The sequence below is a fragment of the Homo sapiens genome, chromosome 3, assembly GCF_000001405.40.
Source record: "Homo sapiens chromosome 3, GRCh38.p14 Primary Assembly".
Taxonomy (NCBI): domain Eukaryota; kingdom Metazoa; phylum Chordata; class Mammalia; order Primates; family Hominidae; genus Homo; species Homo sapiens.
This window is the reverse complement of record NC_000003.12, coordinates 62,938,423-62,956,052: the sequence shown is the minus strand read 5'-3', so window position 1 is coordinate 62,956,052 and position 17,630 is coordinate 62,938,423. Positions and strand designations below refer to the sequence as shown.

General features: G+C 38.8%; 3 annotated features.

Annotated features, from left to right (window-relative positions):
* Window positions 497-1,004: an enhancer, noted in NCBI's record as "NANOG hESC enhancer chr3:62940724-62941231 (GRCh37/hg19 assembly coordinates)". NCBI's record gives its function as "activates a minimal SCP1, AML or CMV promoter by ChIP-STARR-seq in primed H9 embryonic stem cells {active_cell/tissue: H9 hESC(primed)}" and the evidence as "EXISTENCE:reporter gene assay evidence [ECO:0000049][PMID:30033119]".
* Window positions 4,572-5,194: an enhancer, noted in NCBI's record as "OCT4-NANOG-H3K27ac-H3K4me1 hESC enhancer chr3:62936534-62937156 (GRCh37/hg19 assembly coordinates)". NCBI's record gives its function as "activates a minimal SCP1, AML or CMV promoter by ChIP-STARR-seq in primed H9 embryonic stem cells {active_cell/tissue: H9 hESC(primed)}" and the evidence as "EXISTENCE:reporter gene assay evidence [ECO:0000049][PMID:30033119]".
* Window positions 5,446-5,947: an enhancer, noted in NCBI's record as "NANOG hESC enhancer chr3:62935781-62936282 (GRCh37/hg19 assembly coordinates)". NCBI's record gives its function as "activates a minimal SCP1, AML or CMV promoter by ChIP-STARR-seq in naive H9 embryonic stem cells {active_cell/tissue: H9 hESC(naive)}" and the evidence as "EXISTENCE:reporter gene assay evidence [ECO:0000049][PMID:30033119]".

The window sequence follows — 17,630 nt, the reverse complement described above, 5'->3', positions numbered from 1 at the left end:
ACCATTCCCCAGTCCCACGGCAGGAACAACCAAGAATACTCTAGGGGTAACTAGATGTTACCTATCTAAGGATAATACACGTGAATTTCACTACCTTACCTTCCCTATCTTGTTTTTTCCACTGCCCTGCTCGTTACTGCACCTCTCAAACTATGTACACTTGAACCTTTGCTTCAAGATCTGCTTCTTAGTGATCAAAATTAACGCATATGTCATTCCTGACTGTGAAGACTGTATAAACTATTAAAGATCAATATAGACACAAAATGACAAAAATACATGCAAGCTTCTGTGATCCAAACAGAATGTTCTATTTCTGTCTTTGAGTAAATAATGAATTAAAATTTTACCTCAGTTGTTTTTTCCACTGCCCTGCTAGTTACTTCACCTCTCAAACAAACTAGGTACACCTGAACCTTTGCTTCCAGATCTGCTTCTTAGGGATCAAAATTAAGGCATATGTCATTCCGGACTATGACGACTGTATAAACTATTAAAGATCGATATAGACACAAAATGACATAAAAATACATGCAAGTTTCAGTGATCCAAACAGAATGTTCTATTTCTTTGTCTTTCTTTGAAATTGAGTAAATAATCAATTAAAATTTTACCTCAGTTGTTTAGCATAATGGCTGTCTGTGGTTACCATAGAGAGTTGTTCGTTAATCCTATCAAAGGCTGTCCTCTTGCTGAAAGAATAGCCACCCCTCCCATCCTCTACACCCTTCCCCACCAGGGGCCAGATCACCATTAGCACCTCCCTGACTGCAGATTAAACAACTAGAGAAACACAGAAAGACTCATTTTGGGAACCAAGAACACTGTTCCGCTTTGGTTTCAGAATCAAAGAGACGTTTCAATGTCAGAAGCTTTGATTAAATTATTAAAGCTTTAACGTTGAAGGAAAAGTCACTTTCAGCTCTAGTTCTTTCTGAATAGCCAGGGAGGAAATATACACATACACAACACGTAGAAAGCTAACAAGTGTCAAAAAAAAAATTGTTCGTTGTCCAGAAATCTTTAGAGTAAGAAAATAACAAGAATAATGTACTAACATCTAACTTTTCTTGAATATTTTCTGGGTGCCTAGCACTCTGCTCACAAGAATCTGCTAAATTTAGCCCAAAGCTGCCTCCTTACATTTAAGAACAGCCCAAAGGTTTCTCTGTATATAGTGAACTGCAACCTAACTGGATGTGTAAACAGACAGCAACCCAGTCTTGGAACAAGTAGTCCAGTCTCAGCCAATCACAGTGGCCGTACTTCAAGCACTCATAGGCAGCCAACTATTCAAAGCAAGTTCAAATAAGGCAAACCACTGAGCTGTAACCCATATGGCTGTTTCTGTACCTCACTTCTGTTTTCTGTCCACAAATCTTCTCTAACCATGCTCAGCTGCTCCAGAGTTGCTTTGAACCTATTCTGATTCAAGAATCATTCTTTGCTGAATTAAACTCTGTTAAATTTGTCTTAAGTTTTTCTTTTAACATACACTAAGAGTTAGGTATTTTTAAGCCCCATTTTATGGATGAGTAAACGGAGACTTACAAAATGCAGTTGCCCAGATACTGAGGGAGCAAACAAATATAAGCTCCATGAGAGTAGAAATTATATCTTGTTCACAACTGTATTCTCTTAGTACAATGTGCAGTGCAAAGTAAGTGTTAGATAAATGTTTTTCTTTCTTATTTTTTGTGACAGTCTCACTCTGTCACCCAGTCTGGAGTGCAGTGGCACAATCTTGGCTCACTGCAACCTCTGCCTCCTGGGTTAAAGCAATTCTCCTGCCTCAGCCTCCAGGAGTAGCTGAGATTACAGGTATGTGCCACCATACCAGGCTAATTTTTTGTTTGTATTTTTAGTAGAGATGAGGTTTCACCATGTTGGTCAGGCTGGTCTCTAACTCCTGACTTCAAATGAGCTACCCACCTTGGCCTCCTCAAGTGCTGGGATTACAGGAGTGAGCCACTGCATCCAGCCAGATAAATGTTTTTTCAATGTTGGATGAATGTTGAAAGTCTATCTTGAGTAGCAAGTATTCAAAATCAAAGGAGTCATCTAGGGCAGCTGCAGCAAACATTTTCTGTAAAGGACTAGATAGTACATATTTTAGGCTTTGCATGCCATAAGGTATTTGTTACAACTATTTGGCTCTGCCATTGCAGTGGAAAGCAGTCACAGGCAATACATAAGCAAATAGACATGGCTATTGTTCCAATAAAACTTTTCATGTATAAAATTGGCAGAAAGCAGGTTTTGGCTCACTGACCGTAGTTCGTTGACCTCTGATGTAGGAGCTTGTTACCCAAAGTGGTGTCTGGGAGCCAACAGCATCAGCATCACCTGGGGTGGAAATGCAGCCTCTCAGCCCCATCCCTGACCAGTTAAATTTAAACCTACCTTTTTATAAGAGACCCAGGGATTTATATTCCCAAAAATATCAGGCAAGCACTGTTCAAGGAGACTTGGATAGTGCTGTCTGTCAATTAGAATCGTTATATGACTTTTTAAATAAACTGTTACGTATTTCCATTCAAAATATCAGGTATGTGATGGCAAAATTTGCTGGGTTTCATGTGATTATTCAGGTCTGCACTGGTTATTGTTCCTCACTGGTGAAGAAGAGAATAGGAAGAGCTGAGGAGGATTCATTCAAAGTCTACAAAATTAGAACAGACCACCAAATCTGAACAGTCCAATTTAGTACAACTTACAGGTAATCACACTATACCAGAGAACCAAGAAGTCCCCAGGCCTTCCTTTCCTTTCCCAACTCAGTAGAAATAGCTTCTATTGAACCAAACCCAAACCAATCAACCCTGAATCTGATTGGTCAGATGTGTGCACAAATAATTTAGATGTCTTTGCCATCACAGGTCATTAAATACCCACAAAGTGCAGGGCTGTTTCCATAAACATCCGGCTCAAAGCCTTGAAAAAAAATAAATGGCTGTCTCCAAAGACTGAAATATCTGATTATTAAACTCACTGATCATTTTGTGTTTCATCAAAGATAAATCTATAGCAGAAAGAACCAAGAGGAGACAGTGCGGGGTTGAGAGTACTGCCCTAGAGTGAGAAAGCGTTGCCAACTCGCTCTTCCTCTTATTAACCATGGGAGCCAGAGCAAGTCAGTTGAGTCCACAAAACCACAGTATTCTCATCCAGAATATGGGGATTAAAAACATGGGATCCTCCCAGCAATTTGGGAGACCACGGCGGGCAGATTACGCGAGGTCAGGAGTCTGAGACCAGCCTGGCCAACATGGTGAAACCCTGTTTCTACTAAAAATACAAAACTTAGCCAGGTGTGGTGGTAGGCACCTGTAATCCCAGCTACTCAGGAGGCTGAGGCAGGGGAATCACTTGAACCTGGGAGGTAGAAGTTGCAGTGAGCTGAGATGGTGCCATTGCATTCCAGCCTGGGTGACAAGAGCAAAACTCCCTGTCTGAAACAAACAACAACAACAAAAAATTGGCTCCTAATTTTTCAGCACCTATCAAAATTTTACTGGCTGATTGTATTAGTCCGTTTTCACACTGCTGATAAAGACTTTCCTAAGACTGGGAAGATAAAGAGCTTTTAATAGACTCACAGTTCCATGTGGTTGGGGAGGCCTCACAATCATGGCGGAAGGCAAGGAGGAGCAAGTCACATCTTATGTGGATGGTGGCAGGCAAAGAGAGAGAACTTGTGCAGTGGAACTCCTCTTTACAAAACCATCAGATCTCGTGAGGCTTATTCACTGTCATGAGAACAGCATGGGAAAGACCTATCCCCATGATTTGATTACCTCCCACTGGGTCTCCTCCACAACACATAGAAATTGTGGGAACTACAATTCAAGATGAGATTTGGGTGGGGACACAGCCAAACCATATCATTCCACCCCTGGCCCCTCACAAATCTCATGTCCTCATATTTCAAAACCAAGCATGCCTTCCCAACACTCCCCACACTCTTACCTAATATCAGCATTAACTCAAAAGTCCACAGTCCAAAGTTTCATCTGAGACAAGGCAAGTCTCTTATGCCTATAAGCCTGTAAAATCAAAAGCAAGTTAGTTACTTCCTAGATACAATGGGGGTACAGACATTGGGTAAATACAGCCATTCCAAATGGGAAACATTGGCCAAAACAAAGGGGTTACAGGCTCCATGCAAGTCCAAAATCCAGCAGGGCAGTCAAATCTTAAAGCTCCAAAATGATCTCCTTTGACTCCCTGTTTCACATCCAGGTCACACTGATGCAAGAGGTGGATTCCCATGGCTTTGGGCAGCTCTGCCCCTGTGGCTTTGCAGAGTTCAGCCTCCCTCCTGGCTGCTTTTACAAATTGGTGTTCATTGTCTGCAGCTTTTCCAGGCAGACAGGGCAAGCTGTTGGTGGATCTACCATTCTGGGGTCTGGAGGATGGATGGTGGCCCTCTTCTCACAACTCCACTAGGCAGCACCCCGGTGGGGACCTGTGTTGGGGCTCCTACCCCACATTTCCCTTCCATACTGCCCTAATAGAGGTTTTCCATGAGGATACTGCCCCTGTAGCAAACTTCTTCCAGAACATCCAGGCATTTCCATACGTCCTCTGAAATCAAGGCAGAGGTTCCCAAACCTCAATTCTTCACTTCTGTGCACTGGCAGGCTCAACACCACAGTGAAGCTGCCATGGCTTGGGGCTTGCACCCCCTGAAGCCACAGCCCAAGCTGTACCTTGGCCCCTTTTAGCCATGGCTGGAGCAGCTGGGACACAGGGCACCAAGTCCCTAGGCTGCACACAGCAGGGGGGCCCTGAGCCCAGCCTACAAACCCATGTTTCCTCCTAGGCCTCTGGACCTGTGATGGGAGGGGGCTGCCTTAAAGGTCTCTGGCATGCCCTAGAGACATTTTCCCCATTGTCTTGTTGATTAACATTTGGCCCCTCATTACTTATGCAAATTTCTGCAGCCAGCTTGAATTTCTCCTCGGAAAATGGGATTTTTCTTTTCTACCACATCGTCAGGCTGCAAGTTTTCCAAACTTTTATACTGTTTCCCTTTTAAAACTAAATGCTCTAAACAGCACCCAAGTCACCTCTTGAATGCTTTGCTGCTCAGGAATTTCTGCTGCCAAATACCCTAAATTATCTCCCTCAAGTTCAAAGTTCCACAAATCTCTAGGGCAGGGGCAAAATGCTACCAGTCTCTAAAACATAGCAAGCATCACCTTTACTCTAGTTCCCAACAAGTTCCTTATCTCCATCTGAGACCACCTCAGCCTGGATTTCATTGTCCATATCATTACCAGCATTTTAGTCAAAGCCAAACAAGTCTCTAGGAAGTTCCAAAATTTCCCACATTTTCCTGTCTTCTTCTGAGGCCTCCAAACTGTTCCAACCCCTGCCTGCTACCCAGTTCCAAAGTTGCTTCCACATTTTCGGGTATCTACAACAGTGCCCCACTCTACCAATACCAATTTATTGTATTAGTCCGTTTTATCACTGCTAATAAAGACATACCCAAGACTGAGAAGATAAAGAGGTTTTAATGGACTCACATTTCCGTGTGGCTGAGGAGGCCTCACAATTATGGCAGAAGGCAAGGAGCAGCAAGTCACATATCACGTGGATGGCAGCAGGCAAAGACAGAAGTGGTGTAGGGAACTTCTCTTTATATAACCTTCAGATCTTGTGAGACTTATTCACTATCGTGAGAACAGCATGAGAAAGACCCACCCCCATGATTCAATTACCTCCCACTGGGTCCCTCCTACAGCACATGGGAATTGTGGGAGCTGCAATTCAAGATGAGATTCAGGTGGGGACACAGCCAAACCATATCACTTATGGTCTTTAACCCTTAGGTATGCTTTTAAGAATATGTTTTCTATAATTTTCACATATGTATGCAAAGGGTTATACTGACATATGTGCATTCAATGCTTCTTTAATAGTAAATCTGGAAGCAAACTAAATGTTCAACAATATGAGAATAGCTAAATAAATTATGAGACAACTGACTATAATAGCCAGTAGTTTAAAAACAGGTGGAACTATTTGCCCTGAAGTGAAAATATATCTGTGCTGTTCCATTAAACAAAAACAAAAGATGGCATGGTGGCACACACCTGTAGTCCCAGCTACTAGAGGATCACTGGAGCCCAGGAGTTCTAGGCTGCAGTGAGCTGTGATTATGTCACTGCACTCCAGCCTGGATGACAGACAGAGACCCTATCTCAAAAAAAAAAAAAAGAAAAGAAACCAACAACAATAAAAAAAAAAGCTGCCATATTTCATCGATTTCAAGATGTTTATTTTGCACATTTTCACATTATTATGAGTTCTATAATTGCTATTGTCTTACAATTTTTATTGGCCAGGCAATAGTCTTGATGCTGTACATAAAATAATGTCACATTGTACAATCAGTGGTATCTTATATTTAATATATTTGTGCAAAAAGAACCACATATATATGTGAATAGATGTGTTCATATGTTTCTTTACACTGTGTATGTCTATGCTTAGAAACATACACACATGTATAAGTGTACATATGAGAGCACTGAGAAATATCTAGGAGTGTGCATACCAAATAAGCCATAATCAGTTCCAAAGAGAAAAATTAAGTAAATAGGGTTGGAGACTGAAATAGGAAGAGTAGTTTTGGTTTTTAGGTTTTATATTTTTTACACTTTTTGTATAGTAGTGACAGAAAATATGTTTTAATTTCAAACTAAAAAAAAAAAGAATTATGTCTTTATCCCTAATCTCACAAGATTAAGGTGAAAAAAATGCTATCATCCACATGTAAGTGCTATAGAGCTGGGTGACAAATCTACTTACTTTTTTTAGCTACAGAGACTATGCATAAGACACAGAAACCGGAGACATTTAGGGCTGCCACCTTTTTTTATTTTCCCTCAAGTGCAACATTTATTCTGTGAGAAAATGAGACAGGATGCCCCATGGCAACAGGAGAAGCCAATCTTTGGCTCATTGGGGTATTACTTCCGATCAGGAAAGTATCACCAGGCACTCATTCATGAGGCAAATCAGCAAGGAAATGTCAAAACATCGGCAAATTGTGAGTAAATAGACTCAGACGCTTTGGTGCAAACTTGCTGAGAACAGAGACTGTGGTTTCCATATGCCCCAACAAACTCCACTGGGTAGAAGGCCTCATGAATATTAACTAATCATACATTTCAGGGTGAATAACAGTGGCACAACCTAGCATGCCAGCCTCACTCCTGGAGAAGAGCCTGGCCCTGGGGCAAGGGATGCCGGGGACAGTGCAGGGGGTGCGCAGAGCACTGAAAGGAGGACAGTCCGGTTTGGTACCACAAAGGCTTTCTCTGGGGGCTAGAAATATGATGTTCTGAGCAAAGCAGTTTTCTCAAAAAGGGACATTCAATCATGTTTGATGAAAGACATGACTGTGGCTTGTAGACCATACAGCACCCTGTTCATTCTTACTTTGTAGGTGTATAAGTAAATTTCATGGCAATGTCTACATTTTCAGCTCCTTGAACTCAGTTCCTTCTATTAACCATGCGCTTTAGGGTAAACAGAGTTTAGCCCACTCCAACATGCACAAGGCACATTTTTTTTCAGACCAAATTAACACAGATTCTGAGCCTCCTTGAAAGTACTGGAATATTTCATCTTTATTCCTGAGGATCTGCAGGGTGAGTTATCCTCAAATGGTCTATAGACGGAGAAGTCCACATGGAAAATTAGAGCAAGTGGACATGAGAAAAAAATGGATGGGGTTATCAACGAAACAAAATTGATGTGTGTTACTAATTATTGAAGCTGAGTGATGGGTGCATAGAGGTTCATGGTGCTTTTTCCTCTACTGGTGGGTAAGTTTGAATTTTCCATAATAAAAAGTTAACTAAAGTAGAAATTAGTAGGAGACTCTTAAGAAGGATTGCTGAATTTCTGTATCAGGAGGGAGAGGCTAGTATGTCAGCAAAATTCCTGTTATTATATTCTCAGTTCCTCTATTCTAAAAAATAGAGATAATACCAACTCACTGGATTGTGACAATTAAAGGAAGCACTGTGCCCAAAAGCGTGCTACTGTTACTAAGATAAAAATACATTTAAAATGCCAACATATTAACAATAATTGAATGGTGGAATTATTTGTACTTGTTTTCTTTTAACTCTATTTTTCTCATTTTCTATATGGAGCATGTATATCATTTACGATTTGGAACAAATAAAATAATCTTTATTTGAAATCTTTATTGACATTAATGTTGGCTCATTTTTATCCATACATGGAGGAGTCTGAAAAACTTGGACCTCAAAAAGATTTAAAAACATTCCTAATGATTTAACTTTAATTCCTCCCAGCCTGAAGTTAAAGGATTTTGGAATATTATCTTCGGTTTGATGTTCCCTTGAAGAGCAATTAAAAAGAAAACAAGCCAAATTACAATATACTGATCTCTTCTACCTGTTAGTTCCAACAGTGTTTAAATTAGCTGTTGGCCATGCCTGTGTAAAGTTAGTTTGTGATTTTATTTGACAAGTGATGGGTTACAGTAATTCACCCTGCAGTTCCCTCAGGGATAAACATGAAGTATTCTACTACTGTCAAAGAATCTAGATTGCTATTGTTTTTTGTTTTTTTGTTTTTTGCCTAAAAAGCATGTATCATGTGCCCGTTGCCTCTGCTTTTATTAGGAACATAAAATAAATAGAAGCCATTGACTCCCAGGAGTTTTTGATGTTGATGCTGCTATGAAATGGTCACATCTGCTGTATCAGTGATTAATTGTCACAATGATGCTATGTAACTAGGCAAAATTGACATAGCAACATAGATTCCTTGTTAACTATTCCTTGAAATAATAAAATATTTTTTGTTTTTCCCCCAGGCTACTGCAAGGTCAGCTACTGCAACCCTCAAGCTATCTGTAGGTAGAGGAAATCCTCATGGAAAACTCAGTAGCCTACAATAATAAGCATTGGTTTAGTTTATGAGTCTGCAGGGTGCAGTTGATTAGGCTGGAGTTGGCTGATCAGGATTGGACTAACTCTTGCTCACAAGCCCAGGGAGTCACTGGCTGTGGTTCCTTCGGTAGTGGTGTTGGCTGAAATAAAGGGGCCAGGGGCTTGGCTCTGCTCTGCTTTTCATGTTTCTCACCCTGCAGCAGGGTATCCTAGATATAGTTTCCTGATGGGAGAAGAGCAAGTACAAGCAAAAATGCCCAAGTGCTTTTTTGTTTCCTCATATTTTGCTCAAAATGCATCTTACATTTTCCCCTCATTTTTTTTTTCCAAGGGCCTTGTTAAATTTCTGTTTGTGCCCTATCTGCTAATATCCTATTAGCCAAAGCAAGTAATTAAGGCATCCCAGATTCAGGATGAGGAAGTAGACTCTGCCTGTTTAGCGAAAGGGACTTCAAGATTACACAGCGAAAATTGGAGTTACAAGAGAGGATAAAGAATTGAGGCCATTAAAGCAAACACTATGCCTTATAAACTTAAGTAATAAGAACTAATATTTCTCTGTGATGTTGTGCCATTTGCAAAGCATTGTCATACATCTTCATATGTCTAAATACATCCCTAAGGACTGAAGAAAGTTAGTCCTTTCACTAGGACAGCTGTTTCAATGCTGAAATTTAATTTTATTTCTAGTATCTTGTCCCCTAATTTGAACATATATGTTATCATAGTTTGAAGTTAAATTTCAGAGATCAGTGAATAAAACTGAATAAAACCCATCTTTCAAGTTCCATCTATTATGTCACCTTTTCCAGGAAGCCTCTTCGGTCTCTCTAGATAAAATTAATCACGCCCTTTTCTGATTTACCTCTGTGCCGTATACCTAATTCTGCTTTCACTCTTCTCTGTTTGTTTAAGCTAGGATCTGCCTCTCCAGAGTCTCAACCCACTGAGAGGAGTAAAGAGCATAGGTTTGGAAATCATTTGCCAATGTCCAAATCCCAGGTCTGCCATTTACTGCATGTGCAACCTTCAACAAGTTATTCATCTTAGACTCTAGGTGCCTCCATTTTCTCATCTGTGTAATGGGAGCAATAATTGCACTTTCTTAAAAGGCATATTGAGAGAATTAGGTGAGCAATAAAAATGTATAAAACACTGGACACAGAGTATTCTAAATTAGCTACTTGCAATTATAGTTTTATTATCTTTAATTTTATTTAGATGACTTTATACCACCTTGAAGTAACTTTATAACATAAGGTCTACACTGAAAAAAAAAAAACCCCACATAGATCTTTACATTCTAACCAGGTCCTTTCAAGTCCATTGCTTAGATTCAAAATATTAATGATATTGCAACCAAGACCTAAACGAGAAGGGGGCAAAATATTAATAGCAGGGCAGTAGAACAAGCCTCCATAGATAACCTCATTCTGACCCTGATACATAATTCCCTGAGGATAAAGAAAATACAGGAGGATCAAAATGTACCCAAATAATATTCATCTTCATATATCTCACTTCTAGGTCTTGTATTTCTGTGCCTCTGAGCACAAGATTCACTTAAATCATTTCAATAAGTTCAAATAAGACAATGTGAGGACAATGGGAAATAAAATGAAATGGAATAACCCATTCCCGAGGCTAGAAGAGGTAATGAAATAGAATTACATAAGCTCCCTCTAAGTCCTCAATTTGAATGATTAATTTACTTTGAGATGTCTCATCTTCAAAATGGGTGAACTGAGGATTAGAGGAATTGAGCAGATGGCACCTTGATAAATGGAATTAATACTCTGAAAATGAGGGAGGAGAAATTGTATATAAAAATCAGAAAGTATTAAAAGTAGTATCAAGTGTATACTATTAATATATTTTGAAGCATCTGAACATTAATTTTAATATTTGTGTCATCACCATTATTTTAGCACATTTTGAAGGAAAAGAATCTTAACAAATGGAAAGATATACTACAGCGTTTATGTACTACCAAATATTAAATTCAAAAGATGAACTTGTTATATGGATATAAACATGTCGATGTTGTCTTTGGCCAGGGATAGTGGCTCATGCCTGTAATTCCAGCAGTTTGGGAGGCCGAGGCAAGAGGATTGTTTGAGGCCAGCAGTTTAAGACCAGACACTTGGCAATGTAGCAAGACTCTGTCTCTGAAAACAAACAAAGTGTCTTCCTAGAAACATACAATTGGGATTTTTAATAGGTGAAACACACACATAAAAATTTAAAACTCAAAACTCAAATAGTACAAAACAATACATAGTGAAAACTGAGTCTCCCTCCCAATTCTAAGTCCTCATTCCTCAAGTGAAACACATTACCACTTTCTTATATATTCTTTCTTTTCTTGTATGTGCTTATACACTTATAATTGTATACAGCTTGGGAGTACTAAAGTTTTTTTTTAGATTTTTACCCTTATTTTGCATATACCTTTTGAAAAATGAAAACATTGCAGCCTAGAGAATTTACATGATTTGGGCAGGTGCTCAGTGAATCAATTAGGATTAGTTTGGTTTTAGGTGACTTAAAAAAAAAGAAAACTGTTTTAATCCTATATATGCTCATGGGAAAATCTCCAGGGCATAGATGTGATAGCTTCAAACTCAGCTTGAGTTTGCAGAATGACAAAATAGTTGTCATCAGGTCTTGCCCCACCTTCCTCCTAGTTTCAAATCCAGCAAAATGAAAAAGGACTCCTCTAGCTATTTAACAAAAGTCTGAAAATTAATTCTTACTGTTCTAAATTGTCTCATTCCCATCCAAAAACCAATCACTGTGCTAAGAGGAATGTTCTCCTGCTCTCACCCTCCAACTCCCAAAGTATGTGGTCAAACAGGGAGGGAAGTTGTATCACCCAGAGGAAAATCGGGGTGCTATTATCAGAAGAAGGATAAATCGTAGGCAGATGGGAATCACAGAAGTTCACTGCACTCATCTAATTAGGAGAAAGATGGGAGTCATTATCTCTTGCTGCACAGTAGAAACTAGTCATGCCTAAGATTGGGGAAACTATGTCCTCTATAACAACACACAGTTGTTTATTTTCAAATCTTATTTCTTATTACAGGATAAACCTCAGTCAGACGTGGTGTATAAGTTATCTATCTAAAAGCCAGTTCAATGTTTTTGCTTTCTACAATACTGACTTGAATTCAATAGTACAATAATTTAGATTTTGGTCTTTTTCCAATTGCTTTTCAAAATCATTCCCAGCAAACACATGGTGATAGCTTTATATTTTTCACCCTTTCAGAAAGCCCATTACTGGAATGCTGTTAGCCACTAAACTAGCAGCTAAATTTTCCCATCACCCAGATAACATGTATCCTAAACCCTATCAGATGACTTCCATCAAATTAGAGAAATAAGAGGTAAGACTCAAATAGAAGATGTAAACTAAAAGGTTATACAAGGCAAAACATCTCTTCCTTAAGATGAAAATTCCAAGCGACATATTCATACATATATATTCACTAACTGTATTGACTAACATTGAAAATATATTCTTTTTAATTGACATTAAAAGTGAATATATATATTCACTATATTGACTAATACTGAAAATATATTCTTTTTAATGTCAATATTACGGTAGATGCAGACTGAAATAAAGATCACCTAGTCTAGTCATGTGGATATGTGATGGACCAGATCATTGGGAATAGAGTCAAATTAAATGCTGGCTTAAAATGCAAACTGCTGGCCATAACCTGGATCTAACGATCTAATGACCTGCAGGTGGGATTTGAAAACCCGTATATGAATTAGCTCAGGTGGTAATGCTTTTGCAGACTAAACTTGAAAAAGGTGGATGATCCAACCCCCTTATTTTATAAACAGGGCTGTTGAAGCATAGAAAAGGGAAATTATTTGCCAATAAATGGCAGAACTGGGATTAAATTTGCACTTAAAACCATACTGATTGTTAGACTTTCTTACCTCTTCTCTTGCTTTCCACCTTTCTGTGTACCCATTTCTGTAGGGTTATTGAGAATGAATCTGGCTGACAATCAAAACTGGTATGAAATTCTATTAGAAACATGTCTGGTTGTCAAATTACCATATCAGTGGGCTTTAACTGTTCCTTAGAGAATTCATTTTTTTCTGGCCATACAAAGCATCTGTTTGGTTTAATGCTTAGTCAGTTGGTTCTCAAACAAAAGCATCCCAGATAAGGAATAGTGATTCCCTTAGTCAAAGAGCAATATTCAGAAGATCAAAATCCATCAACTCTTGAACTTTCCAGTTCAGGAAACACTGGACCTGAAATGGTCTACTTCATAGCACAATTCTTTCTTATTGTGTTCTCTACAATAAAAGCAGAGAAGAGACAGGAGATTATCATACTGAAACCTTCCAGATTATACATTTTTGCGGGTATCTTAGGTCTTCTTTTGCCATACATACAATTGTACCTGGATAATTTATTTGAAGTGATGCTTTACATTTGAATTATTCAGCCTCCAAAATCTTTCAATTTCCAGTGGGTGAGCTTTCCTCTTCCTTATTTCCACTGTGACTGATTCAACTTTGCATCTTCTGCATTCAGCATGAGGCCTGTACATAACATCACAGTATTTGTGGAATTTATATGCCTTGGTAGTCAAGACACAGGGTCACTGGTATGCTGCTAAGTGTTTAACAACCGACTCTTTAGGGCACAGAAAGTCTCTATTTGTAGTACTTGCCAATCTCCATGGTGAAAACAGTCAACCGTGGCCAATTTCAAACTAGCAGCATGGTGTCACTGAATGCAGAGTTGTAAAGAGATACGTCATAGCCTGCCATTCTATAATAATTCTGTCATTAAGATTCAGAAGACAGAAATAACCTCAAGATATGGATAAAGTAGAATGGTATAAAATAACTCCAAAGTGATCATTTTAAGTATTTATTATTTTGTTTTTAATGTAGTTTAATCAAAATTTGTATAATTTAATTTACGATAAGGACTATATTTAACAAACCAATACTCAAAATTCCTGAACATTTAACAATTGGTTTCTTGTAAGCCAGTATGACATGACTTCAGTTGCTACTGGAAAGGGGTATAGAGTCAAAAAGATTTGGATTTGAGTTGTGTCTTCTCCAACTACTAGCTTTGAGATTGAGCAAATCTACTTCACCTCGTGCCTCATTTTCCTTACCTATATAAGGAATAATAGTGTCTCACTGGTTACATGAAAAATGAATGAGAGAGTACAATAAAATTAGTTGTACTTGGAAATTAGTGATTTTTTTTTAGAGTTCAATGAATGTTAGCTTTTAGTAATAATAATAATAAATGTCAACTCAGTGATAGATGATGAGTGAATAAATGTGTAGATACATGGATGAATGAACAAACACAGGGGTGCTTTTAAAGTGAGAGGGGAAAAAGCTTTTTTGATTGCAAAAACATAATAATAATAAAAATGATCTGTGTTTACCCCAAAAAATGTCTGAAGAAGATATAAAATCCTCCATTCCAAAATGCTGGGTGGATTTAAGCAACCTCTCTGCTTTCTGTGGACTTCGGTGGCTTAGCATTACATAGTAAGAGACACAACATGACTTGCAATTAGTGGTGTCAGCAGACACTGAAAAAGCAGGGAACAAGCAGTGCCTGTTACTCACTCCTAAATACAGTAGCCTTCCCTTGGGAGCACAAGTGTTAAATCCCCTCTTTCAGACATTATTTTTGTGTGCTCACAGCCTCTTTTCTTTGGAAAAGGGCTGAGTCAGTCTTTTTCAGAATCACACCTCAGCTAATATCAAGTGTCATTGTGTTCCCTCCAGCTACTTGCTTCTGAGGTCCTAAGACCTCCGAAGGAAACATCTCTTTCCTGCTCACAATAGCTTGATCCCAGTACGCTTAGCAGTGCCTTGTGGGATTGCCTCTCGCCCAGAAGGAAAGTCTGACATTTTGGTAACTGTGCTTCCTCTCAGAACGAATGGAGCCCTCTCTTTCAGAACTGCCTCTTCCTCCTGAATCCAGTTAGGGCTTTAGTTTGCTTTTATGTGCCAGGAGAGAGGAGGGAAAAAAGATCTCCTGGCAACTGAGGGTCCAGGATATGCTGTGCAATCACGTCGCTGGGAAAAACTAGCTTTCTGAATAATTCAAACAAATCCCCAAAGGGTGATGCAACCAACGTGAAAATAGGTGACTCACAAAGAGGTCTTTGGAAGAGTCTGTGTCAGTGTCTCAAGAAGAGAATACTGGGCCCCAATATTCAGTTTCGTATTCAAAGTAAGTCTATAACATTTTTCAATTAAACTCTGCTGCCTTTTTTTCATGGGGTGGGGAGAGTTCTTGACACATAAATAATGTGCTTATTTTTGCTTAGTTCATAAGCTAAACGCTAAGAGTATTTATGTGTCTGAGGGTACAAATCTACCTAGTTCTTTTATCCTAAACACTTTAAAATGAAGTAAAAGTATTTTTAAAATCTCTGACAATACTGGTAAACAAAGAAAAAGGAAAAGTTTCTTCAAAAGACAACAACAGAAAATGAATGGAGACTTGGAATAGAAGGAACACCTTAACTTGGTAAAGGATACCTACCAAAAGCCTAGAGAAAGTCCAAACTTAGTGGTGAAGTATTCCTCTTAAAATCAAAAGAAACACTAGGTAATTCACTCTGATCGTTTCTATTACCCTAGAGGTGTCAGTGATTACAGCAAGATAAGAAAAAGAAAGCAAAAGTATAAGGATTAGAAAGGAAAGAATGAAATTGTCATTCAAAAATACAAAAAAGCTCAAAATAATCTTCAAATAATTAGAAATAATGAGAGTTAAAGAAAGGTTATTAGATATCAAATCAAAGCATTAAAAATAAATCTATACGCCAGCATCAAACATTTAGCAAATTTATTTTAAAAGTCTCCACCTATAACATTTTTATGGTACTGGGGAATAAAGCTAAGAAGTGCCACTGTTAGCAGCAGGGAAGCTGTATGGGTCTGCAGCAACTTATTTCTTGCCTCCATGAAGGAAAGCATTCACTCGAGGAGCATAAGGCAAAGTGAGAGACTGAGGCAAGTTTTTGAGCAGGAGTGAAAATTGATTAAAAAGCTTTACCACAGGAACAAAAGGAAGTAAAGTACACTTGGAAGAGGGCCAAGCCGGCAACTTGAGAGATCCAAGTACGGTGTTCGACCTTTGACTTGGGTTTTATAGGTTGGCATAGTTCTGGGATTTGCATCTCTTCTTCCCTTAGGGTGGGCTGTCTGCATGTGCGGTGGCCTGCTAGCACTCAGGAAGCGCTACACGTGCAGTGTGTTTACTGAAGTTGTGCGCATGCTCACTGGAGGTGTTTTTTTTTTTTTTTCCCTTACTGGTCCAGTGTTCCTAGAGGAAGGTCACATATCAGTTAAATTCTTCCATTTTGCCTCTTAGTGCACATGCTTGGGCCCACTAGCCCAACTCCTGAGATTTTATCAGGAAGCTGCTCATCACCAGTTTCAGGTGTTTTCTATCTATTGAGCAACTGCCTTTTCCTGGTGCCGGCTGTGACCAGTTATTATTTTAGAGAGACAATTTAGCAACCACCTTAGCATCACCTGATGGTCGTCTGACAATCATAGGCTAGAGGGGAGCCTCTCCTGCCCCGTTTATGTCTGCCTAGCTATTTACTCTAACACTACCATGTTAATGGATAGGAAGATTCTACACCATAAATCCATCAATTCTCTCTAAAACGACTGATAAGTACAATTCCAATCTAAGCTCCTGTAGGGTTTTTTAAAAAGTATTTTAAAAGCTGATTCTAAAATGTATATAAAAGAGGACAAAGATAAGCCATGACACTTTCGAAGAAACCAGAGTTGGGAGAGAGATGTCGTCTAGATATCAAGACGTAGTATTAATCTACAGTCATTATGACAGTGTAGTTTGTCTTAGTTATAGACAAAAAACATAACAGAATAGCAAAACTAGAAACACCTGGGAATCGTTGTGGGTTGAATTGTGTCCCCGAGAAAGATATGTTCAAATCCAAACCCCTGACACCCGTAACTAACTTTATTTTATAAATAGGGTCTTTACGGATGTAATCAAGCTAAAATGAGTTCATACTAGATTAGGGTGGGCACTAGACTAGTTACTGGTGTCCTTATAAGAAGAGACACAGAGGCACAGAGAGAAAGAGAGACATGCAAGGGAGAGGGCAGAGATGGAATTATGCTGATACAAACCAAGGACTGTCAAGGCTTGCCAGCAACCACCAGAAAGAAAAAAGCAAGGAAAGATTCTTTCTCAGATCCCTCAGAGGAAATATGGCCCTGCTGACACTGTGATTTCAGACTTCTAGACTCCGGAACTTCGAGAGAATAAAGTCCTATTGTTTTAAGGCACCCAGTTTATGATCCATTGCTATGGCAGCCCTAGGGAATGAATACAGGGCTATATACAAACAAAACCCTAAAGTAACAAGCCATAAAGAGAAATGTCAACAAATGTTCTTAATGACTTTAAAATGAAAAACAATTTTTTAAATATTTTGGAAAAAACTAGAAAGGCATATCTCTGTTTCCTCTTATAGGAATTCTTTATGTATTTTGAATACTAATCCATTATCAGATCTATGCATCTGTTTTATTGTTCCCAACCCCCTTTTGGTCAATGATTCATCATCTACTCAATTATTTAAGTCCCAAATCTAGGAGATTTTTTTAATTCTTCTG